Source organism: Homo sapiens, chromosome 2 (genome assembly GCF_000001405.40).
Source record: "Homo sapiens chromosome 2, GRCh38.p14 Primary Assembly".
NCBI classification, from domain to species: Eukaryota; Metazoa; Chordata; class Mammalia; order Primates; family Hominidae; genus Homo; species Homo sapiens.
Window position 1 is genome coordinate 30527686 of NC_000002.12, and position 23089 is coordinate 30550774.

The 23089-nt window shown below is 35.7% G+C and overlaps 1 protein-coding gene across 11 annotated transcripts in view; it reads left to right on the forward strand.

Moving 5' to 3' along the window:
- Positions 1 to 23089, forward strand: part of LCLAT1 (lysocardiolipin acyltransferase 1) — a 196980-nt gene that overhangs the window by 80440 nt on the left and 93451 nt on the right. For all 11 annotated transcript variants that reach the window (NM_182551.5, XM_005264245.4, NM_001304446.2 and 8 more), the window contains one exon: positions 5431 to 5629. In NM_182551.5, coding sequence (NP_872357.2) covers positions 5431 to 5629 — 199 coding nt within the window. The remainder of the gene's footprint in view (positions 1 to 5430; positions 5630 to 23089) is intronic.

Sequence of the window (23089 nt, forward strand, 5' to 3'; positions counted from 1 at the left end):
AAAAGGAGTCTTAATACTACCTACTTACATCAGAGAGTCATTGTAATGACTAAATGAGGTAATAAATATATAGCCTTTTTAGTATAATGCTTGCCATTTGGTAAGTACCCGGTAAATATTTGGTATTATATTAATTTTAGTTTTAGTTTTAGTTTTGCTTTTATATTAATTTTAGGCTAAACTGGTGTTTTGGAGAAAATTCAAAATATAGTGGCTCCAATACAGTAGAACTATATTGACTTACAGGTCCAGGCTGGCAAGGTCCCTACGGTCCCTGATGTCATCAAAGGGTTCAGATGTCTTCTATCCTGTTAATCCACCTAGCTTGGCCTCCAGCCTGGTATAATGTCCTCTTGTATTTGGTCAAGACTGGGTCACTGCCACTTCTTTGCCCCACTCTGGAGGAAGTCCAGAGCAAATGCTTTCTTTCTATACCAGTGACTCACGTGTGTAGTACATAGCAAGTTGCACATATCACTTTTGCTTACTCTATTGGTAAGAGCAGCTAAAAGCTGTAATAGAATCTGGGAAATGTCTTTTTTTTCTGGGCAGCCATGTGCACAGTTAAAATTCTTAATCTGGAAGAAATGCTGGTATTTATAGGACAAGTTACCAAACAAATTCTGCAATAGCTATTTCTGCTATTATTACTGCTAGTAGCATTACTATTACTGCAGAATTACATTATACACCTACAGTATTTGTACAGTTTCAATTACATGCACTAAGGTAAGGGAAGAGTGGGCAGAGAAGAGAATGAATTTTTTTCTGCTTCATGTGAGATGAAATAGGAAATATGAGTGGTTCTCTGCTGAGTGTGATTCTTGTGTTTAAAGATAGATATTTTTAAACAATATACAAACCAATCACTTTGTCTGATGGTCAGGTAGGGTAATATCAATATAGTACAATTTTGGGAGAAGATTGGCTGAGCTGGACTTACTGATAGTGTGATCTTTTGAGATGCACCATCCTATGAGATTTTCAAAGATAATTTCACCTATTCCTAACTTTTGTCTTATTAGCTGTTTGGACAGTTTAACACATGGGTAAGATTTAACTACCACAGTACTAGTAAAAAATTAGTATACATTTGGAAAACTGCTGTCACTCAGCTGTTTAGTTTACTAGTTACAGCATATCAGACAGAGAAAGTTTTTTTAGTTAAGAAATGTATAGATGTTGAATTCCTTATAGCTAGGTTACAGAAAAATTGATATTCTAGTTTTGAGATAGTGAACATCTCTGTTGAAGGAAACAGAGAAGAACCATCAAGGGTGTCTTTTATCACCTTTTATCTCATACTCGTACAAGGAGCTAAAGGAGTTTTTAAGCAATAATAAAATATATTCTTTTTAAATTCAGAGTGAATTTAATCTAAAAGCTTTTCTTCTATCCCTTATTGATGTACTTTATTTTAAGCAATCCCAAACAGTTAAAAATAATTTTCCACTAAAAATAAATTAGGATAAATGCACTTAAACTAATTATTGCTTCACAAAAATAGTCACAAAATGATCTTCTCTTTCATTAAGTTTCTCTTGTGGATTAAAATGATTTTGTTGGCAAGATTTTTCTTGTCTTACTATTTTTAAGGAGCACATTTCTGTGCTAAAAGAGGCATAGCAGTGAAATGTTTTAGAATCTTAGATGAGACTTAGAGGTCACTTTGTCTAACCTAACTCTGTGGGCAAGAATCCGTTCTAGAACTATCTGCAGGGTGACCATTCAGTCTTTCTTTGAATGTTTCTATAATTCGGAGTGCATGCCTTTGTTCCTTTTATTTTTGGACCATTCTGTTCAACATAATGAATATTGTAAGGGTCAAACTCAGCATGTGCTCAGAGCAGTTTTTGCTTCTCAAAATTCTAACTAACCGACAGTCTGATTACTACCTGGGATTATGAAAATTACTGGAGTTCTGTCCTTTCACCATAAATCATGCCTTAGGAATTTAGAGGTCATTTTCTAACTGTCTACCCAGGGCACAAGTTTCTTCCACAGCCTTCTGATACCATTCCAGTCCTAGCACAAAACAGGTGTTGAATAAACATAGATTGCTGAATGTGATTTTTGTCTACACTGTTGCTCTTAACAAAGTGGGTGCTCAGTGTTTTGAAGAATGAGTTGGGATTGCAAAGCCTCAAGTAGCTAGGGATTTGGAGAACCAGACCTAATCTGAGCCTGAAAAGCAAAAGCAGACATGGAGATGAGTTGTTATTACCTCAGACTAAGTAAAGATCCATCAGAATGATAAATGAGAGTGAGAGCAGCGGGCATGATGGTAAAACTTTCTCTGTGATCTTGAGAGGAACCACTCTCATCTTTGTGTTTTTATACACAATGGAACACTTGGACATAGTAAGTAGTGGTATATAAAAGATCCTTGGAAAATGCTTCCATATTTCTGTTAAATAATACACAGAGAAATCTTTGACCAATTAGGTAAAAATTATCAGAATTGTTACTCTTCAATATAAGAAACAATGCATTATAAAATTTTGTTAGATTTATTACTGTTGACACTATTATCTCCTATACTAGCAATAAAATAAACATGAGAAATGTGAGAATAGTGTCTTTTTTCCCAGTCTTTTAGTCTGGATTAATTGAATTCTGGAGTTCTGTATAGATATTACAGCTTTATTTCTGTGTAGTATATTTGTTTTTCTGCCTTTGCAGGAGCTGTAAATAAGGTTGACTGGATATGTCTCATCTGGTATTACAACCAATTAATGTGGACTTGAGATCTTGGCTGCCCAAAGGTTATTTATAACTTTCAGGCATATTCTGGTAGAATGCTGGATGTCAAGGGAGAGGATGTCATGTTATATGAGATGTTCCTGGACACATGGTCTTGATTGTTGTTGTTGTTGCTTTTTTGGAGACTACATTCTCTTGCCCAGCTGGAGTGTAGTGGTGCAGTCAGATCTCACTGTAACCTGAAATTCCTGGACTCGAGTAATCCTTCTGCCTCAGCCTCCTGCGTAGCTAAGGCTCTGGGCATGTTCCACAATGCCTGGCCTTTAAAAATTTTTTGTAGAGCTGGAGTCTTGCTATGTTGCCTAGGCTAGTTTCAAACTCCTGGCTTCAAGCGATCTTCCTGCCTTAGCCTCCCAAAGTGCTGGGATTACATATGTGAGCCACCACACCCATCCCAGTCTTGGATTTTTTATGTTATTTTTCATAATGAAAAGCAAAGGATTGTTTGGGATCTATAGGTATCATATATTAGAGATTGCATATATAGGTTTAGATTTGAGGTTTGGAATTTATAGGCTTAAGATTTTTAACTCTTGGCCGGGCACGGTGGCTCATGCCTGTAATCCCAGCACTTTTGGAGGCCAAGGCGGGCGAGTCGCAAGTTCAGGAGTTCAAGACCAGCCTGGCCAACGTGGTGAAATCCTGTCTCTACTGAAAATACAAAATATTAGCTGGGTGTGGTGGCGGGCACCTGTAATTCCAGCTACTCGGGAGGCTGAGGCAGGAGAATCACTTGAACCCGGGAGGCAGAGGTTGCAGTGAGCCGAGATCGCGCCACTACACTCCAGCCTGGGCGACAGAGTGAGACTCCGTCTCAAAAGAAAAAAAAGAAAAAGGGACATTTTTTGCTGTGGATCCACACCTGTAGGACTCTGCCATGATCCTTTTTACCAGGAGGTCTTCCATGTAGGTATTTCACTTTCAAGGGACTTTTTGGAGTAGGGGTTATAATTAGTTGAGCGGTTATGGACCCTTTTGAAAATTTGATGAAAACTGCAAGCATTTTACCTAGCAAAGTATGTGTACACATTGACATATCTTTATATACAGCTTAAGAGAAATACATTTTTATTGACCTCTTGGAGGCCATCGTTCTAGGACATAATAGATAACTGGATTAAATACCCATGCTGAAAGTGAACCTCAGCTGTGGGAAAGTAACTTAATGGACCTATGGGATATCTGTAGCTACTTAGCCCAAATGATTTTGTATCAGGATGTTAACACTTTGACTCTGTAACAATTTGGACATATAACTTTTCTAACTTCTTTTTACTTTCTAGTATATTTCTTTAGCTAATATTATTTTGAACCTATGTTTTATTGATCCTGTTATGTTTTTCAAAGTCTTACTGTTTCATATTGCATTTTTAAAAAAATGCCTTTTTGTTGTGAAGTATAGCAAACATACCGAAAAGTTATTAAAACACAAATGTACAATTTAATGAAAAATTTTGCGTGTAACTGTCAACCAGGTCAAGAAATACAGCATTGTCAGTTCTCCAGCAAGCTACCTAGACTTCCAATGAAAACATCCTCCTTTTGGTAGAAGTATTCATTAATCTGACTTTTAAGATAGTTATTTTCTTCTTGTTCTTTATAATTTTAGCATCTATATAATCATCTTTAAAATATCTTAATCTTTTAGAAAGTCTTATATATTGACATTTATTGTATATATTTTTGTTTGTTTTGCTGTCTTTCAAAATTATGCTTCTGTGTATCTTTCATGTTGCTGTAGGTACTTGTAGTTCATCTACTTTCATTGTTGTATCATTTTTCCATTATATGAGTATACCACAGTTTGTCTATTGGCTATACCTTGTTCAAGATTATCATGATATTCGCCAAGAGAACTTTTGATTCTGTATCGTATATTTGCCTTTAGATCAATTTCTCTCTTTATTAATAAGTCAAATATTAACTAGTAAATTTGTTACATGTAAATTGAGAATTCAAAGAAGAGTTTGAAATCAATAATCAGCTTTTATTGTAATCTGTTATTTTACTTTCAAGAACTCATAAGTCTATAATATATTGTTTTTCTAAATACTTCATATGTATTATATACCTGGCCCATCAGAAAAGCAAATTAAGGAAATTCAGCAATTATTTGAACATTACTATTTTCTAGGTACTAAGGCTTGTAGTATTTTAGTAGATGTATAGTTAATTTATTCTTTACATAGTGTCAAAATAAATAAGATCTATGTTTTTGTTTTTAAAACATCATAGTACAGGATGCTATAAAGTGAACAGTTTACCTTTCCGGGATTTTTTTTTTTCCCCTGTACCCAGTGCTAATTCTTTGACTGTTCTTTCTAGAAAAAAAGGTAATAATGTTACATATCTATATCCTTAAAATATTACACAGTAGAATATTGATATTCACCTTTTATACTTTTTGCTTAATAAGATATCTTGATTTCAAGGACAATCAGCATTTTTTAATTAGGACATCACAGAAGCTTAAAATAGAAATAGTGCTTGATATTCTCATTCTTCTAGATAACCTCACCACTCAATTTTTTATTATAGAAGCAAGGATCATGGGAAATACTAACTTTTACATGTTAGAAATCATAAGATTTATTTATAGGGCATGATAAAATTTACCTATGGAAAATCATAACTTTAATTTGCTGTATATCTGTATTGTTTTCTTAGGCATTATTGGAGACCATGTTTGGTGTAAAAGTGATTATAACTGGGGATGCATTTGTTCCTGGAGAAAGAAGTGTCATTATCATGAACCATCGGACAAGAATGGACTGGATGTTCCTGTGGAATTGCCTGATGCGATATAGCTACCTCAGATTGGAGAAAATTTGCCTCAAAGCGAGTCTCAAAGGTGTTCCTGGATTTGGTAGGTTATTCACACATTATTTTAAGTGGTTCATTCATTTTAGATGTAATGCACCCACTGTAAAACTGACTTAAGCATTAAAGCGATTCCATTTTTTTCCTCACTGGGCCAAAAACAATCTCTGGTTCTTTTGTCTTTAGTGGATCTGCTATGGCAGATGACTTTATTTTAATCTGTTTTTAAAAAATATTACTCTGAAAGAGAAAATAAACTGTTCTCAAGGAAATGGATATATAGTATCTGAGGACCACAGCATTGAAGGATATGAATTAATAGTTTAGTAACTTTTTATTGCAGGTAGTACTTGTGATTTCGGCCAGAAACTGGTCTGTGCTGATAAAGTACTTGACATTGACTGATTCATTCATATTCATGTAGTAAGTATTAATTGAATATGTAGGTTCGAAGCATTCATTATGCTAGGTGCTGGTACTTTCTGAACTTCCCCAATCTATAACTTTTTTTAAAAAATGTTTTTATCGCGCTTGTATAATATAATATTAAAGTTCCTGGAAATGTTTATTTTAAATGGCTAGGAATACAACATGTTCATTGTGTGTTGGAGAAGTAGGGATATTTCAACATTGCATGTTAAAAATAAATGGCCTCCTTTCTCAACTTGCTACTTAATGTGAAAAAGGGAGGGGAAAGATTATAAATATATTCAAACCAGTTATTCACATGGGTATATGAAGTACCCACTATATCCTCCTGACAGCCTTGTTAATTACATTTATACTTCTGTGGTTTACCTAGGTAACATTTCTCACTTAAACTATGTACCCTCTTAAACCATTCCTCTATTAGTATACTGACGTGGTTTATGATTTGTGAGGGCAAAGGGCAGGCCCTCACAGGATAGACTAGTAAGGATAGACTAGCAAGGGTGTTTGTAGTTGATTTACTGTGTGTGTGTGTGTGTGTGTGTGTGTGTGTGTGTGTGTGTGTGTGTGTGTGTGTTTGGGAGACGGAGTCTCTCTCTGTCGCTCAGGCTGGAGTGCAGTGGTGCAATCTGGGCTCACTGCAAGCTCCGGCTCACTGCAAGCTCCACCTCGCAGGTTCACGCTGTTCTCCTGGCTTAGCCTCCCAAGTAGCTGGGACCACAGGCGCCAGCCACCACGCCTGGCTAATTTTTTGGTATTTTTAGTAGAGACGGGGTTTCACCGTGTTAGCCAGGATGGTCTTGATCTCCTGACCTCGTAAGCCGCCTGCGTTGGCCTCCCAAAGTGCTGGAACAGGCGTGAGCCACTGCGCCCGGCCAACTGTTTGTGTTTTAATTGCCTTTGTACTTATATCTTTATCTTTCTCTTTGCCACTTTTCCAATATAGTGATCTCAGATTTCTTACATGGCAGCTGGCTTTCCTTAGAGAACACTTTCACTTGAGAACCAGCAAGAAGCTGCAAGGTATTTTATGACCTAGCCTTAGAATTCAAACAGTATCACTCCTATCATATGTTATTGGTGGAAGCAGTTACCATCCTCAAAGATTCTAGAGGAGGGAGCATAGCCCCACAGATTGAAGATGTGTCTAAGATCTCAGTATTTAAAAAACTGCCACATCCCTAAGAGGACTGATAAATAAAAGAGAAGGCACATATTACCAGTAGCAAGATTGATTCTACATGAGATATACTAACAGGATATTAAGAATAACATTATACCAATGACTTTAAAAGTGTATATGAGATTTAAAAAATACAGAAAAATACAACTGACAAAATCTGACATTAACAGAAAATGAAAAAGCCACAGTTATGTGTCTAATAGAGATTGAATCCATAATTAAAAGTCCTCTTACAGAGGTTTTTGTAGGACAATGGCAGCTGTGTATTTTTCTTCACCCTAATTTAAAAAAAGTTATGAAATCAAGCAGGAGAGGAAAGAAAACCATGTATCACCCATCTCTTTTAGTATGAGAAAACAAATAATGCCATAAGTGTTCAATTGATTTATGAAGAGAAATAAATTCCAAAACATTCCCTTCTGCCCTCCTGTCTTTATGAAGAGTACTAAGAGTGGGGAGAAGAAGATTAAGAGTAGAATGACATGCACCTGGGGCTTGCTGGCAATTCTGTCCCTTCTAATGGTAGAGCATTGTGTGCATACGTGTGTTCACCCCCCAGGGTCAAAAAAGACTTGCCTTCCCAGTGTTCTTGCTTCCAGTAAAGCCACACCACAGCATCCACAAACAGCTGCAGCCTAGGCCAGTGAGGCACTCAGTAGACACCAATGATGTTGATAAAAGCTGAAGAAATCATATGGAGTCTATATTACTGTTCTTACATGGAACCAAAGTCAAGGCACCCTACCCAACTGAGACTGTATGACATATCTACAGGAAAAAGTTTTTCCCTATGAAAGCTATATCATAAAATTGGAAAAAGTGGCTGTTCCATCATATGCACAGATACCAGTGTAGGAACACAGGAAACGTGAAAAGGCAGGGAAACCTGATACCTCCAAAGGAACACAAGAATTCTCCAGTTAATATACCCCAAAGTAAAGGAAGCCTATCAAATGCCTGAAAAGGAACTCAAAATAAAGATCTTAAGGGAACTCAGCAAAATACAAGAGAACACAGATAAAGTATTCAACACCATCAGGAAACAATTCATGATCTCAATGAGAAATTCAGGAAAATGGTAGATATCATAAAAAAGAATCAAATCTCAAAACTGAAAAATTCAGTAAATGAAATAAAAATAAAATCAAGAGCTTCAACAATAAACTAGATCAAGCAGAAGAAAGAATTTCTGAACCTGAAAACACATGTTTTCAAATAACCCAGCTAGATCAAAAGAAAGAATGAAGAAAGCTTACAGAACATGTGGAACATCATTAAGCGATCAATTTTTGCATTATGGGAGTTGGAGAAGACGAGGTGAAAAAAGGCATTGAAACCTACTTAATGAAATAATAGCTGAAAACTTTCCAAGTCTTGGGAGTAATATGGACATCCAGATACAGGAAGCCCAATGATCTTCAAATAGGTTGAAGCTGAAAAGGCCTTCTCCAAGGCACTTTATGGTCAAACTCTCAAAAGTCAAGAGAGAATTCTATGAACAGCTAGAGAAAGGTGTCGAATCACATAAAAGGGAATCCCCATCAGACTAATGGCAGATTTCTTAGCAGAAACTTTACAGGCCAGGAGAGAATGGGATGATATATTCAACATGCTGAAAGAAAAAACTGTCAGCCGAGGATACTGTAACTGGCAATGCTATTCTTTAGAAATAAAGGAGACATAGTCTTTCCAGACAAGTGAAAATGAGGGAATTCATCATCACTAGACTGGCCCTAAGAGAAATGATTAATTACTTCTGCATCTGCAGTAAAAAAGTGATATCTAAGCATTATGAAAACATGCAGATAAAACATACTAATAGAACAGATATATAGATGAAAAAGAGAAGGGACTCAAACGTTAACACTACAGAAAAGTCACCAAATTGCATAGATAAACAATAAGACAAGAAGAAAGATACAAAAGATATACAAAATAACTGGAAATCAATTTAAAAGTAGTGGGGATAAGTCCTCACCTATTAATAACCTTGAATGTAAAGCATTTAAATTCCCCATTTAAAAAATATAGACTGGCTAAATGAATTTTTTAAAAATACAAAGCAGGACCCAACTATATGCTGCCTGCAAGAAACTGACTTCACCCGTGAAGAAACACATAGACTGAAATGAAGGAATTGAGAAAGAAATTCTATGCACATGGAAACCAAACATGAGCAGGAGTAGGTATAGTGTATCAGATAAGATAGACTTCAAGTTGGCCGGGCGCGGTGGCTCACGCCTGTAATCCCAGCACTTTGGGAGGCCAAGGCGGGTGGATCATGAGGTCAGGAGATCGAGACCATCCTGGCTAACAAGGTGAAACCCCGTCTCTACTAAAAATACAAAAAATTAGCCGGGCGCGGTGGCGGGCGCCTATAGTCCCAGCTACTCGGGAGGCTGAGGCAGGAGAATGGCGTGAACCTGGGAAGCGGAGCTTGCAGTGAGCCGAGATTGCGCCACTGCAGTCCGCAGTCCGGCCTGGGCGACAGAGCGAGACTCCGTCTCAAAAAAAAAAAAAGATAGACTTCAAGTTAAAAAAAAGAAAAAAAACCTACAACATAAAAAGTGACAAAGAAGGCAATTATTAATATATAGTGATAAAGGGATCAATTCAGCGAGAGGATATAACAATTGTAAATACACACACACACACACACACACACGCACGCACACCAAACACCGGAGCACCCAGATATATAAAGCAAATACTGTTAGATCTAAAGGGAGCGTTAGACCCCAATATAGTAATAGTTGAGGACTTCAGCACCTCACTCTCAGCAACAGATAGATGATCCAGACAGAAAATCAACCAAGACATATACTGGATTTAAACTGCATTATAGACCAAGTGGACCTAACAGATATTTAAATAATATTTAACAGCCACAGAATATACATTATTTTCATCAATTCGTGGAACATTCTCCAGGACAGATCGTGTGTTAGGCCACAAAACAAGTCTCAGCAAATTTTAAAAAATCGAAATTATGTTAAGTATCCTGTCAAACCACAATGAAATAAAGTTAGAAATTAATAACAAGAGGAAATTTGGAAACTGTACCAATACTTGGAAATTAAACATGCTTCTGAATGACCGGTGGATCAATGAAGAAATTAAGAAGGAAATAAAAAAAAAATTTGAAGCAAATGAAAATAGAAACATAACACACCGAAACCTATAGGATACAGCAAAAGCAGTAGTAAGAGCGCAGCTTATAGCAGTAAATGCCTACATCAAAAAAGTAAAAAGATTTCAAATAAATAACCTAATACACCTCTATGAACTAGGAAAGCAAGAACAAACCAAACTGAAAATTAGCAAAAGGAAAGATATAAGAAAGATTAGAGCAGAACTAAGCAAAATAGAAACTAAAAAATACAAAGGGTCAATGAAATGGAATGTTGATTTTTTTGGAAAGATAAATAAAACTGATAAACCATTAGTTAGACTAAGTAACAAAGAGAGACGATGAAAAAGAAAATTAGGCCAGGTGCAGTGCTCATGGCTTTACCACTTTGGGAGGCCAAGGCGGGTGGATCACCTGAGTCAGGAGTTGGAGACCAGCCTGGCCAACATGATGAAACCCCATATCTACTAAAATACAAAAATTAGGTGATGGTGGGCACCTGTAATCCCAGCTCCTTGGGAGGCTGAGGCAGGAGGATCGCTTGAACCCAGGAGGTGGAGGTTGCAGTGAGCTGAGATTGCACCACTGCACTGTAGCGTGGGGTGACAGAGCCAGACTCCATCTCAAAAAAAAATAAAAAATAAAAAAATTAGAACTGTAATAAAAAAATTAGAAATGTAATATGAGATATTACAACTGATACCACAGAAATACAAAAGATCATTAGAGAATATTACGAATTACTATATGCCAGCCAATTGGAAAACATAGCAGAAATTGATAAATTCCTGAACATATAAACTTTCAAGATTGAAATAGGGAAAAACAGAAAACCCAAACAGACCAATAACAAGTAATGAGATTAAATCAATAATTTAAAAAATCTCCCAGCAAAGAAAAGCTCAGCACCAGATGGCTTCACTACTGAATTCTACCAACTTCCCCCAACCTCTTTTTTTTTTTTTTTGAGATGTAGTCTGGCTCTGTCACCCAGGCTGGAGTGCAGTGGTGTGATATTGGCTCACTCCAACCTCCACCTACCTGGTTCAAGCGATTTTCCTGCCTCAGCCTCTGGAGTAGCTGGGACTACAGGCGCACGCCACCACGCCCAGCTAATTTTTGTATCTTTAGTAGAGATGGGGTTTCACCATTTTGGCCAGGATCTCTTGACCTCGTGATCCGCCCGCCTCAGCCTCCCAAAGTGCTGGGATTACAGGCTTGAGCCACCGCGCCAGGCCTTTTTTTTTTTTTTTTTTTTTTTTTAAACAGGGTCTCACTCTCACACATGCTAGAGTACAGTGGCATGATCATAGCTCACTGCAATCTTGAACTGGGCTCAAGTGGTCCTTCCACCTCACCCTCCTCCTGAGTAGCTAAAACTATTAATCCAAGCTGGCACAATGATGCCTGGCTAATTTTTTTAAAAATGAAACTTTAGAGCCAAGCATGTTTAGTCAGGATCTAGACACCACTAAATGTTCTCTTTTAATGTTATATATACTGTTTTAACAGGCTTGGCTGGTCTATCTTCAACTTATTTAAGAACATGTGTTATAAAACTATATAAACAAAAACCTTAGATTACCATGTATGGATCATGCTAAAGTAAATTGTCCACTAATCATTTTAAGGAATCTTCTCTTGGATAAATGGTTTGTACTTCTTAATCATGGTCCATCTTAAATTAGATGTCAAAAAAATTTTCAACTCGGGTATAATTTCAGGAGAAGGAAAAGGTAAAAGAATCTCTAATAATTTGTTATTATGTGCTGTGTACAGAATACTGTGTAAGGGACTTTATATACATTATCTTATTTAAAGGTCACAACTGCATATCATAACATAATCCTTTTAAAGAAAATGGAGTTTAAGAATGTTAAATAATTTGCCTTGTTCCACATAGATACTATGGGGTGGCAATAAATTATGAAACCTGGTCTGTTTAGTTCTAGAGTCAAGGCATAAAAATATTTAATTTTAAATAAAATGTCTAATTACTTAAATTTTTATGTATTATAACTAACAGGTACATTGTACAAAATCAAAAGCTACAAAGAGTTGTATACAGAAAATACATTTTTGTCTCATCCTGGCTCTGTTGTCACTCGGTTTCCCCAAAACAGTCGTTAACAGTTGTTTTCAGAGCTATTCCATGCATGGACAAGCAGATTGTTTTCTTGCACTCAATTTTGTTAAATAGAAATGGGTGTAACAAAATATATACACTGTTCTTCATATTTTTAGAAAGTATTTAGCAATATATGTTGGAGATTATTCCATGTCAGTGTATCTATTGCTGCATTATTTTTAAATGATATCATAGTATTTAAGGATACATGGTATTTTTAACCCATCCACTGTTTAAATTTTTCCAATCTTCAGCACTTACTAATAATGTTGCAGTGATTTTCTTTGTGCAGTATTTCACATAAAACTGAATTTATCAGTAAGAGTTGAAACCTAGATCAGAGTATGAGAGATATTGTCCATTTCCATCCATAGGAATTAAATCAATTTATATGTCAAACAACAGTATATATGCTGTTTCATTACACTCTCAAAAACATGGTGCTATGAAATACCTGGGTCTTTGGCAAACTTAGATAAAGAAGATATTTCAATGTAGGTTTATATTTATTTTTCTTTCTTTTCCTTTCTTTTTTTTTTTTTTGAGACAAAGTCTCCCTCTTGTCCCCCAGGCTAGAGTGCAATGGCACAATCTTGGCTCACTGCAATGTCCGCCTCCCGGGTTCAAGCGATTCTCCTGCCTCAGCCTCCCAAGTAGCTGGGATTACAGGCGCCTGCCACCACGCCCGGCTACTTTTTGTATTTTAAGTAGAGACAGGGTTTAACCATGTTTGCCAAGCTGGTCTTGAACTCCTGACCTCATGATTCGCCTGCCTTAGCCTCCCAAAGTGCTGAGATTACAGGTGTGAGCCACCACACCCGGCCACATTTATTTTTTTTAAAGGTAATGAGGCTGGACATTTTTCTATTGGAATGTTAGTCTTTATCCTTTTGGGTTATACAAATTCTTAGTAGAAATATTAACATTTTGTCTGGGGTGAGTTGCTAATATTTTCTCTGTCTCTTGTCCATTTTCTGTGTTTAGGTTATTTTTTTTCTAGTGGAACTACTGTTTTCATACAGTCAAACTGATTAATCTTTTACATCATCTGGATTTTATAGCAAACTTAGCTTTTCCATCATGCTTTTATGGTTTCACTTGTCTTGCTTACTCTGGTCTAAGCTAGGAGAGCTGGGCATGGTAATTCCAGCTTTTTGGTTGGCTGAGGAGTTGAGCCCAGGAGTTTAAGGCTACATTGAGCTATGATTGCACCACTGCACTCCAGCCTGGGTAGCAGAGTGTGACCCTGTCTCTTAAAAAAGAAAAAAAAAGTTATTAAACAAAAAATCTAGGAGAAAGAGACTTCTTGTTTATCCCCCCAAATAGCTACTAAGCCCAGTACTCTTTTCTGAATAATCTTTTCTTGATTAGTTTGAAATGTCACATTTTATCAGGTTTTATTTTATTCTGAATTTCCATTTGTTATAGGGTCTGTTCCCAGACTTTCTGTTCTCTTCTGTTGATCTAATTATGCATAAGTACCATGCTGTTTTATTTACCATACCTTTATATTACTTTTAATGTATTACTTACATTCAATAAAATTAACCAGTTTTAAATTGCATACCGTCATGTAACTCACAACAGTCAAGTTGTATCCTTGTGCCCTTTTGCACCCAAACCCCTGGATAATATGGTAAATGTGTGTGTAACTTTGTAACTTCCATACAATTTTTCCCCTTTTACATTTTTACCAGTAGTGTAAGAGAGAGTTCCAGGTGTCCCATATCCTTGTCAGCATTAGGTGTTATCAGTCTTTCTAACTTCAGCTATTTTTGTGGCTTTGTTGTGGCAACTTACTGTTGTTTCAATTTTCATTTCTCTTAAGACTAGGGATTTTGATCCTCTTCTCCTTTGCTCATTGGCCATTCATATAGCTTGTTTTATGATGTTTCTAGTCATATCTTTTCTCCTTTATTTATGGGTTGTTTCTTCTCTAACTGTTGCTCTATAAGAGTTCTTCAAAAATTCTGGATATAGGCTCTTTATAGATAGGATTTTTGCAGTTTTTTACCCCAGACTGTGGTTTACCTTTCTACTTTTTTTAAACCTGTCTTTCAAAGAGCAAACTTTATCTTCATGAGGTCTTTTTAAACCATTTCTTCTTATTGTTCTTTCTTTGTCTGACCTTGTGTCACAAATATTTTCCCCTCCCAAGAAGTTTAATGGTCTTACTTCTTAACTTTATGTGTGACCCATTTTGATTCAGTTTTTATTGTGAGGCAGGGTCAATGATTATTTTTTTCCTATACAGCTTTCCAGTTTTCCATCAGCTTTTATTAAAAAGTCTACCCACTATCCACTCAACTAACTTAACACCTTTTTTGAAAATTATTTGTCCGGTAAGTGTTATTTCATCAATGTCACTCTGTCATGATACTGTAATTTTATAGCAAGAATTGAAATCAGCAGTTCTTTTAAATTTTTTTCAACTATTTGAGTATTTTTCCTCTCCATTAAAATTTTAAAATAAGTTTGGTAATTTCTTCAAAAATTCCTCAGGATTTTTATTGTGATTTCATTCAATCTAATTTCCCTTTGCAGTACTTGTAGTTTTTCATATAAAGGTCTTTCACAACTTGCATTTGATTTGTTTCTGAATATTTTTGATTGATGCTATTTTGGAGTTGTTTTAAGTTTTTACTTTCCAATTGTTTGCTGCCAGTTTATAGAAATGCAGTTGATTTTTGTATCCTGCAACTTTTCAAAATTCAACTATTCTACATGCTTTGTGGGTTCCATAGGGTTTCTTTATACATAATCACATTGCTTGTATGTAAATATTATTTTAATTTTAATATTCGACTTTTATGGCTTTTTTTTTTTTTTTTGCCTTATTGCGGTGGCTATTCTTTTAGTATAATGTTAAGTAGAAGTGTTGAGGGCAGACATCCTTGCCGTGTCCCTGATGTTAGGTAGAAAGCTTTGAGCCTTTCACTGTTGAGTATAATGCTAACTGTAGATTTTTCACAGATGCTCTTAATTAGGTTGAGGAGTTCCCTTCTATTCCTGATTTGCTGTGACTTTTATCATAAAACGGTGTCAAATTTGGTTTTAATGCTTTTTCTGTACCTCTTAGAATGATAAGATGAATTTTCTCCCTTGTTCTATTAATATGTTAAATTGCATTGGTTAATCTCTGATGGTAAACTAACCTTACATTTCTAGGATTATCTCCACTTAACCTTTTTAATGTATTTTTGGATTCAATATGCTAATAGCTTTAAAGGGTTTTTGTATCTGTGTTCAATAAGGATTTTGTTCTTTTTTCTTGTGAGATATTTATCTGTTTGTGACCTCATAAAATGAGATGGTCAGTGTTCTCTCCTTGCGTGTTTTCTGTTAAGAGTTTGTATAGGACTGATGTTATTTCCTCTTTAAATGATTAAAGGAATTCACCAGTGAAGCCATCTAAGCTTGGAGTTTTTTTTAGTGGGTGTCTTTTTAATTACAAACTCAATTTTTTGAGTTGATATTGAATTCTTTAGTTCATCTGTTTCTTGTAATTTTTCAAGAAATTGTGTTACCTAAGTTGTCAAACTGAGGCATCAAGTTGTTAATAATATTTTGTTAATTTTTTAATGCTTAAAGAGTCTGTGGTTAATCCCTTCTTTTATTTCTCACTTTTCTTGTTCAATCTGGCTGGAGTTTTGTCAGTTTTATTGAGTTTGCCCCTCTCCCCTAAAATAATCAGCTTTTGGTTTCATTGATTTCTTTCCCTCCCCTCATCAATCTGTGTTTTTAGTTTTACTGATTTCTATTCTTATCTTTATTATTTCCTAACTTTTATGTTCTTTGGGCTTAATTTGCTTTTTTTAAAATTTTTTAGTTTCTTAACATAGAAGCTTAAGCTATTGATCTAATACCATGTTCCTTTTTTAACACAGGTGTTTAGAACTACACATTTTCTTTCAGCACTGCTATAGTTGTGTGTTGTATTCACATATTTTTCTGTGGACTGCCTTTAGCCCGAGACTGAAAGCTTTGGAGAAGGGAACATACTCTTAGAGCTTTCCATCTCCCTTCCCACAAGTGAACATGAGCTCCCACCAGTCTGTCTGCTTCTGCTCCCTCTCTAGTACCTTCTGATGATTACCTTTATCTTATGTCCAAATTTTGTCATTGTTTTCTACAGGGATGATTTGACCGATAGGGTCTTAACTCCATCATGCTAGAAAATGGAAACTGCTTAAGGACTTTTTTTCCTTTTTAACTATTAAGAGAAAGATTCTTGAAGCATAGGATTTTAGAGTTGGCATATAATTAAGAGATTACTTAGTTTCTCTTTATGCAATACAGGAATCATCCCTGAGTCTTTCTTTCTTCAATTAGTTACCAAATCCTAGTTTTTCTCAAAATATAAAAATATTCTGTTTCCAGTTATGCTGTTAGTAGCTTCCAGGTTGCAGCTGAGCTCCTGATCACTTGGTCCTTTGGATTATCCTTTCCTTCCTTCAGTCCCATCCTTAAATACCCAGTAGGGCTAGAGTCCTTCTCAACTTCCCCTCTGTGTGTTACTTCTATCAGCTTTGAATACCTGATGTGTGTCCTGTGCCTAAGGGATTATTTTTGTTTATCCTGAGGCCCACTTTGGATATTGGTTTATGAAGGTGGATACACCCTCCTACCCCTTACCTTACAGAAATCCGTATTAGACTTAAGGTCCATAATCTTTTTCCTTCACTACTGAGTGTTTATTTCTCCTACTCTTTACTGCTGTAGTCATTTTTATCATTCCAAACCTGTCCTTCTGCAAGACAAGAGGAAAATTCATCTTGAGCCCCTATTTAAGTATTTCATTCTTAACTGTTCCATTTGTTTATTTTCTTTTCCTTCCTGAGTTATAAGCTACTTATAGAGTATCTTACCCATTGTAGGCTCTTAACTATTTGTAAGCTTGATAGGATTTCATGAAAATGCAAACTACTAATGGGAACAGATTTTGGACTGGAGAAAAAAAGATTTTAGAACCTCGAAAGCAAACAAATACAGAGTAATTTAAGCCAGGCATAAGTGTAAGCAGCAAACAAAACAGCATGTTTGCCAGTGAGAGTTAAAAAGGGAATTAAAGTTGGAGTTTGCAGGAGGAAATGATAGGAAAAAGAATGGCTGCATCGTAGTGGTCAACTATATACTGTTTGAGACTATACCAGTTTTACCTTGTTGACAATTTGATGTAATTTTAGGGAGTATTTAAGATTGCTATGCGCATTTTTTTTTCAAATAAATGTTTGCTTACCAGATGTTTAGAATATAATTATCTGGTCTATTTAATTCTTGTGCAACTGACTAAAGGAAAACACTGTATCTGTAGTGCCAGGTTGGGAAATGGCTGAGAGTTTAGAATAGAAAGTTCTTTTCTTAAAGTATAAAAGCAATAGACCTATGTAACAGGGTAGGAAATAAATCATTAAAAGTATTTAGATTTCAGGTCAAGTTATAAAGAGTTTTGTTAAATTAACTAAACTGTTTAGAATTTATTAAGATATACAGAATAGATTTTAAGAAAAAATGTTTCATAGAGTTCAACTGTCTCTGATGGTGGTGCATATGTAGATTTTTACTTTTAGCCAATTTTATGACCACTTAACTAGTGAAATGAAATATTAAACTTAAAACAGTCATAAAAAGTCCATTTGCCTAGTGATTTTGTGCCAGGAAATGCATGTGCCAACTGTACGTACCCAACTCATGGCTTCTTGGTTTCTCTGGATCATTAATCACTGTAGAGTGAGAAAAGAGTTTGAGCCTTTTAGAAAGCATGAAAAGGAGAGTAATATTAAAGAGATAGTGATTTAAAACCTGTCCAAGTCATGGATGAAGCCAGAAATTTTCCTGATATGACCTCATGATTTCATATTAAATTGTTATATAATTCTGGAATTCTAAAGCATTACATTCTGCAATGTAGTGTAGTGGTGAAAACTAGGAAAGGCCCACATTGTGATATATCTAGATTATTCAGAGTGAGATCAGAGAGAAGCCAGCAGGAACAGCATGGCCTCTGATGAATGCTTTCATCCATTCTCAGTTTTTCAAGACATACGAAGACTGTTATTGGATATGTAGAAGTTCCTGTAGTGGGCTGCTTTCACAGGATAATGGAAACTGGATAGGAAGCTGTTCAGAAGTTCAGCCTCCCAGAATATAAACTGCCAAAATATTAAATAATTTTTTTAGTCAAATCTGATGAAATGATTAGAATTTTATTTTACATGCTGTTGGTATTTTTACATATGAATTTTTCTTTTTAGAGATCATGAATAAAAACAACTCAGTTACAATGTGTTGTTTACCTTTTTAGTACACTATAGGAACATGATTATAATGCATGCTGCTGTTAACATGAAAGTGGTTCAATACAGTGATATGGGAATTGGAAAGACTCATGTGGTCAGATTTTCAGTTTGATCTGTAGTTTATTGATGTATTTATAAACATTACAATAAATTTGTGTAAATAAATGTGCCATTGCTAACACAGTTTTAAGAATTACTAAATTTACTGAAGTCACCTTAATTTTATTTACTATCACATGTTAGCCACAAAGAATAGATGTCTGTTTGACATATTTAAAATCTATAATGCCTAACTTTACCTCCTGTGAGAAGGAAAACTCCCCCTTTCTTACCCAGCTTCCTCCTACTTAAAACAGACATTCACTAAAATTAGAACAAAGTCATGAATATTTTTGACTCTATCCAGTTTGGTGGGTTCTTTTTTTAATTCAACACAATTTCATGCTGCCCTCCTGCTCATAACAAGAATAAGATGAATGGATTCATCTTATTGATGAATGTATTAAGATGAATAGATTCATCTTATTGGCGATTTTGTGCCAGGAAACTCACATGCTAGTTGTCCCTTCCCAAATTAAGCCCCCACAGGACTCAGTAACACTCCACTCCTGCCAGTTCCTTTAGTGCAATCATAGGCATTAGTTTTGCTACCTACAGTAGGTAAAGGTGCCTTATTACCCAAAAGTAACAACAGCTTGAGCCTTCCTGGAATGAATCTCTGCAGCTAGTGTGTTTGAAGCTCCACCTGTGACTCTTTCTTCAAAGGGGGCTTCTAGTCAAGGATTCCTAGCTACTTATTAACTATGCTATAGCTATTACTGTCACAGCAAACTTTCTGATGTCCTGGCCTTCTTTATTATATTGATAAGATTATGGTATCCTATTAAATAATCATATAAAGCTTCACAACAGCCTTCTTCCTCTGTGTTATTCCACATATTACTTAATAACTAAAGGTCAGAAGTAGTATTTTACTAATCTTAACAGTGAACCACTGTGATGCACACATCCTATGACAGAGAATGAAAATACCAGATACTGGCTTTCTCAGCCTCCTGTCAGCAGGGATGGTTGTTTGAGCCAGTCTAACCAAAGGGTCTTATGGGAGTCTGTTGGAGTCTCTGGGAAAGATACTCCTCCTTAATAAGATGAAAGAAGTCAATGAAGGTCCAGTGCCACTCTTTTCTGCTTGTGGACAGTATTGTGTTAGCACATGAGGCTTGGAACTTTTGCAGGCATTCCCTCAAAGAGGGGGAGGTCCTCAGACATCAGGAGGATGGCATAGTAGAGTGGGAGATCCTGGCTCCTGAACTAGCGTTGGGGCCAGACTTTATTTTACGTGAGAAGCGTAAACCCAAATTGTTTATATGACTTTTAGATTGGTATTCTGTTATTTATAGCCAAAAGCATCCTGATGTAACTTGCTTTCCCCTATTTCACCAAGCCATAAGAAATGTATCCATTGTTTGATTTACTCGTTCAGTAAATTTTATTAATGCTAGTCATGAATGAAAATTTTTATGAAAACCATCAAATAAAGTAGAATATGTTAAACATATTTTAGTTCTGTTGCCTGGAAGACACACATACATCTCTGCTTGTTTTTAGATATATAACAGATTATTTCATTTTAGCAATTCTATTGGTATTTGAAACATAAAGTTTTGGTAATTGTTGATTTTGTAGTTTTGGTTGCCAGCATTGCTTGGCCGAGATGAGTTTTGATGCATGGCCGGGAGGGTGGTAAGTAGTGGGGATATACGTTTGTTGACGAAAAGAATCGAACTCTGTAAAATATTTGAAGAGATTTATTCTGAGCCAAATGTGATTGACCATGGCCTGTAACACAGCCCTCAAGAAGTCCTGAGAACATGTGCCCAAAGTGGTCGGGGTACAGCTTGGGTTTATATATTTTAGGGAGCCACGGGACATCAATCAAATACATTTAAGAAATACATTGGTTTGGTTCAGAAAGGTGGGACAACTTAAAGCAGGGGCTTCCAGGCTATAGGTAAATTTAAACATTTACTGGTTTACAATTGGCCGAGTTTATGTGAAGACCTGGGATTAATGGAAAGGATTGTTTAGGTTAAGGTAAAGGATTGCGGAGACCAGGTTTTTTTGTGCAGAGGAATCTCTCAGATAGCAAACTTCAGAGAGAGAGCAGGTTGTAAAATGTTTCTTATCAGATTTAAAAGGGTGTCTGGCTCTTAGCTGATTATCTCCTAGATCTGGAAAGAAAGGAAGGAAAATAAAGGGATAAGGGGATTATCTATATAATGTGGATTTTTCCCACAAAAAACTTTACAAGGCAATTTCAAAGTATGGCAAGGTAATATATTTTGGGGTAAAACATTTTGATTTTTTCCCTTGTTATGCCTGAGTAAGACTGGAAAGTAAGTCACAATATACAGGGTTAAACAAAGCTCATGTGATGAGAATTTATGGTTTGTAGGGCATGACTCCCTAGATCCCTTAGAAAGGAATTTGGGCAAGATAAAAAATTAGAGCTTAGCCTTTACTTTCTTCCATTGGGAAGAAAAGAAAGGTTCAATTCATTTAAATCATCTGCCAGGCAGTTTTACCAGGATTACCTTTCTTTCTAGAATGACATTGAGAACTAAGTAATTTTTTAGGATGGCATTGAAATCTAAATAACTTAAATGAAGCTTTTGTTTTGAATGTGTTATCTGACTTCTGAACAGAGCTGAAGCCCTGAGCTGTGTGAAGTTGACAGTTTCTTTGGCCAGGAGAAATGGCTGGGGGCTTTAAGGTTATCTAATCAATCACTTACTGACATTAATGCAATTGGTTACCTAAATTGGATATCCTGTTGATGTGTACTATTTCTAATACCTCAGCAAATTTACATTGCGTTAGGCTGCTAGATATCCCAGATGTGAGCTAGGAAGCGAATTTCACCTCTAGTACTTTTAGTACCCTTAGGTCTGCTGAAAATTGAGGAATTCCTTTGCTTAAATTAATAATTACATTCTAAAATTATCTAAAAGATATGCTTTTATAATGGTAACTTCAGTAGAAAGAAATTCAGAATTTGGAGGGAGCTTTAGGGTTTTGAATCTGCTTTGTATTTGGTGGAAAAGCACAAATGAAATAAATCACATAATAATCAGTTTTGAACCAACTTTGAAATGGCACTTTGCAATAATAATAGAAAAGATATGCAAGATGAACCCTCTGTATCTCATAGTTGGTAACTTTAATAGATAATTTGACTTCCATGCCTTCAGTTGTTCTTTGTCTTGGGGCTAAGTATCTGTAAATTGTGCAGGTATTTTAAAAGAGAAAGGCAACATTGTAAGACCTGGGGGAAAATGAATTAGCTGTTGTATTTATTATATATGTCATTTAAAAAATATGGCTTTTCTCCATTTATTTCATATAACAAATCTTACAGAAAATATTTTCCTTATGCTTGAAGTCAGATGTTTCTGAGTGTTACACTGTTGTGTAATGAATACCAGGCAGGGACATATTATGTAGCCAAGAATTAAAAATGTTCTTCCACAATGAAAATAATGTCAAAACTATATCTTTAGAAATGCTGTTACTGATAATCTTCAATTATTACAACCAAGTAATATGGTATAGTAAGCGAATTCCAAGTAAGATTATTTAGGCCTTGATTTTGAATGGAAAATGGCCATTATTTGTGTATTTTTTTAGTCAAACACAAGTTTGCATCAACAAATAGATGTTCTGAAGTAAACTTTTTATATGGAATCATTTTAGATTTATTGAAAATTTGTAATAACAGTACAGAGAATTTTCCTATCTTTTTCACCCAGCTTCTCTGATGTTAACATCTTATATGGTATATCTGTTGAAACAAGAGGTTAATTTTGGTGCAATACTATTAACAATGGACTTTATTCAGACTTCACCAATTTTTCCACTAATGTCCTTTTGTGGTTCTAGGATCCAACTGAGAATACCACCTTGCTTTTTAGTCATTGTATCTTCCTAGTCTTCCTTCATTTTGTGATAGTCTTTTCTTGCTTTTCATGGTGCCTTTGAAAAGTACTGGTTGGACATTTTGTAGAATGTTCCTCAGTTTGGGTTTGTCTGATGTTTTCTTGTGATTAGACTAGAGCTGTAGGCTTGGGGGAAGAATACTGTAGAGGTGGAGTACCCTTCTCATGTCAGAGGTTCATGATATCAACATGGCTTATCACTGGTGATGTTAATCTTAATCACTTAGTTAAGGTGGTATCTGTCAGGTTTCTTTACTGCAAAGATGCTGTTTTCCCCTTTACATTTACATACTCAATCCACTAAGCACAGCCCACACTCAAAGGCTGGCTGTTGGGGGAAAG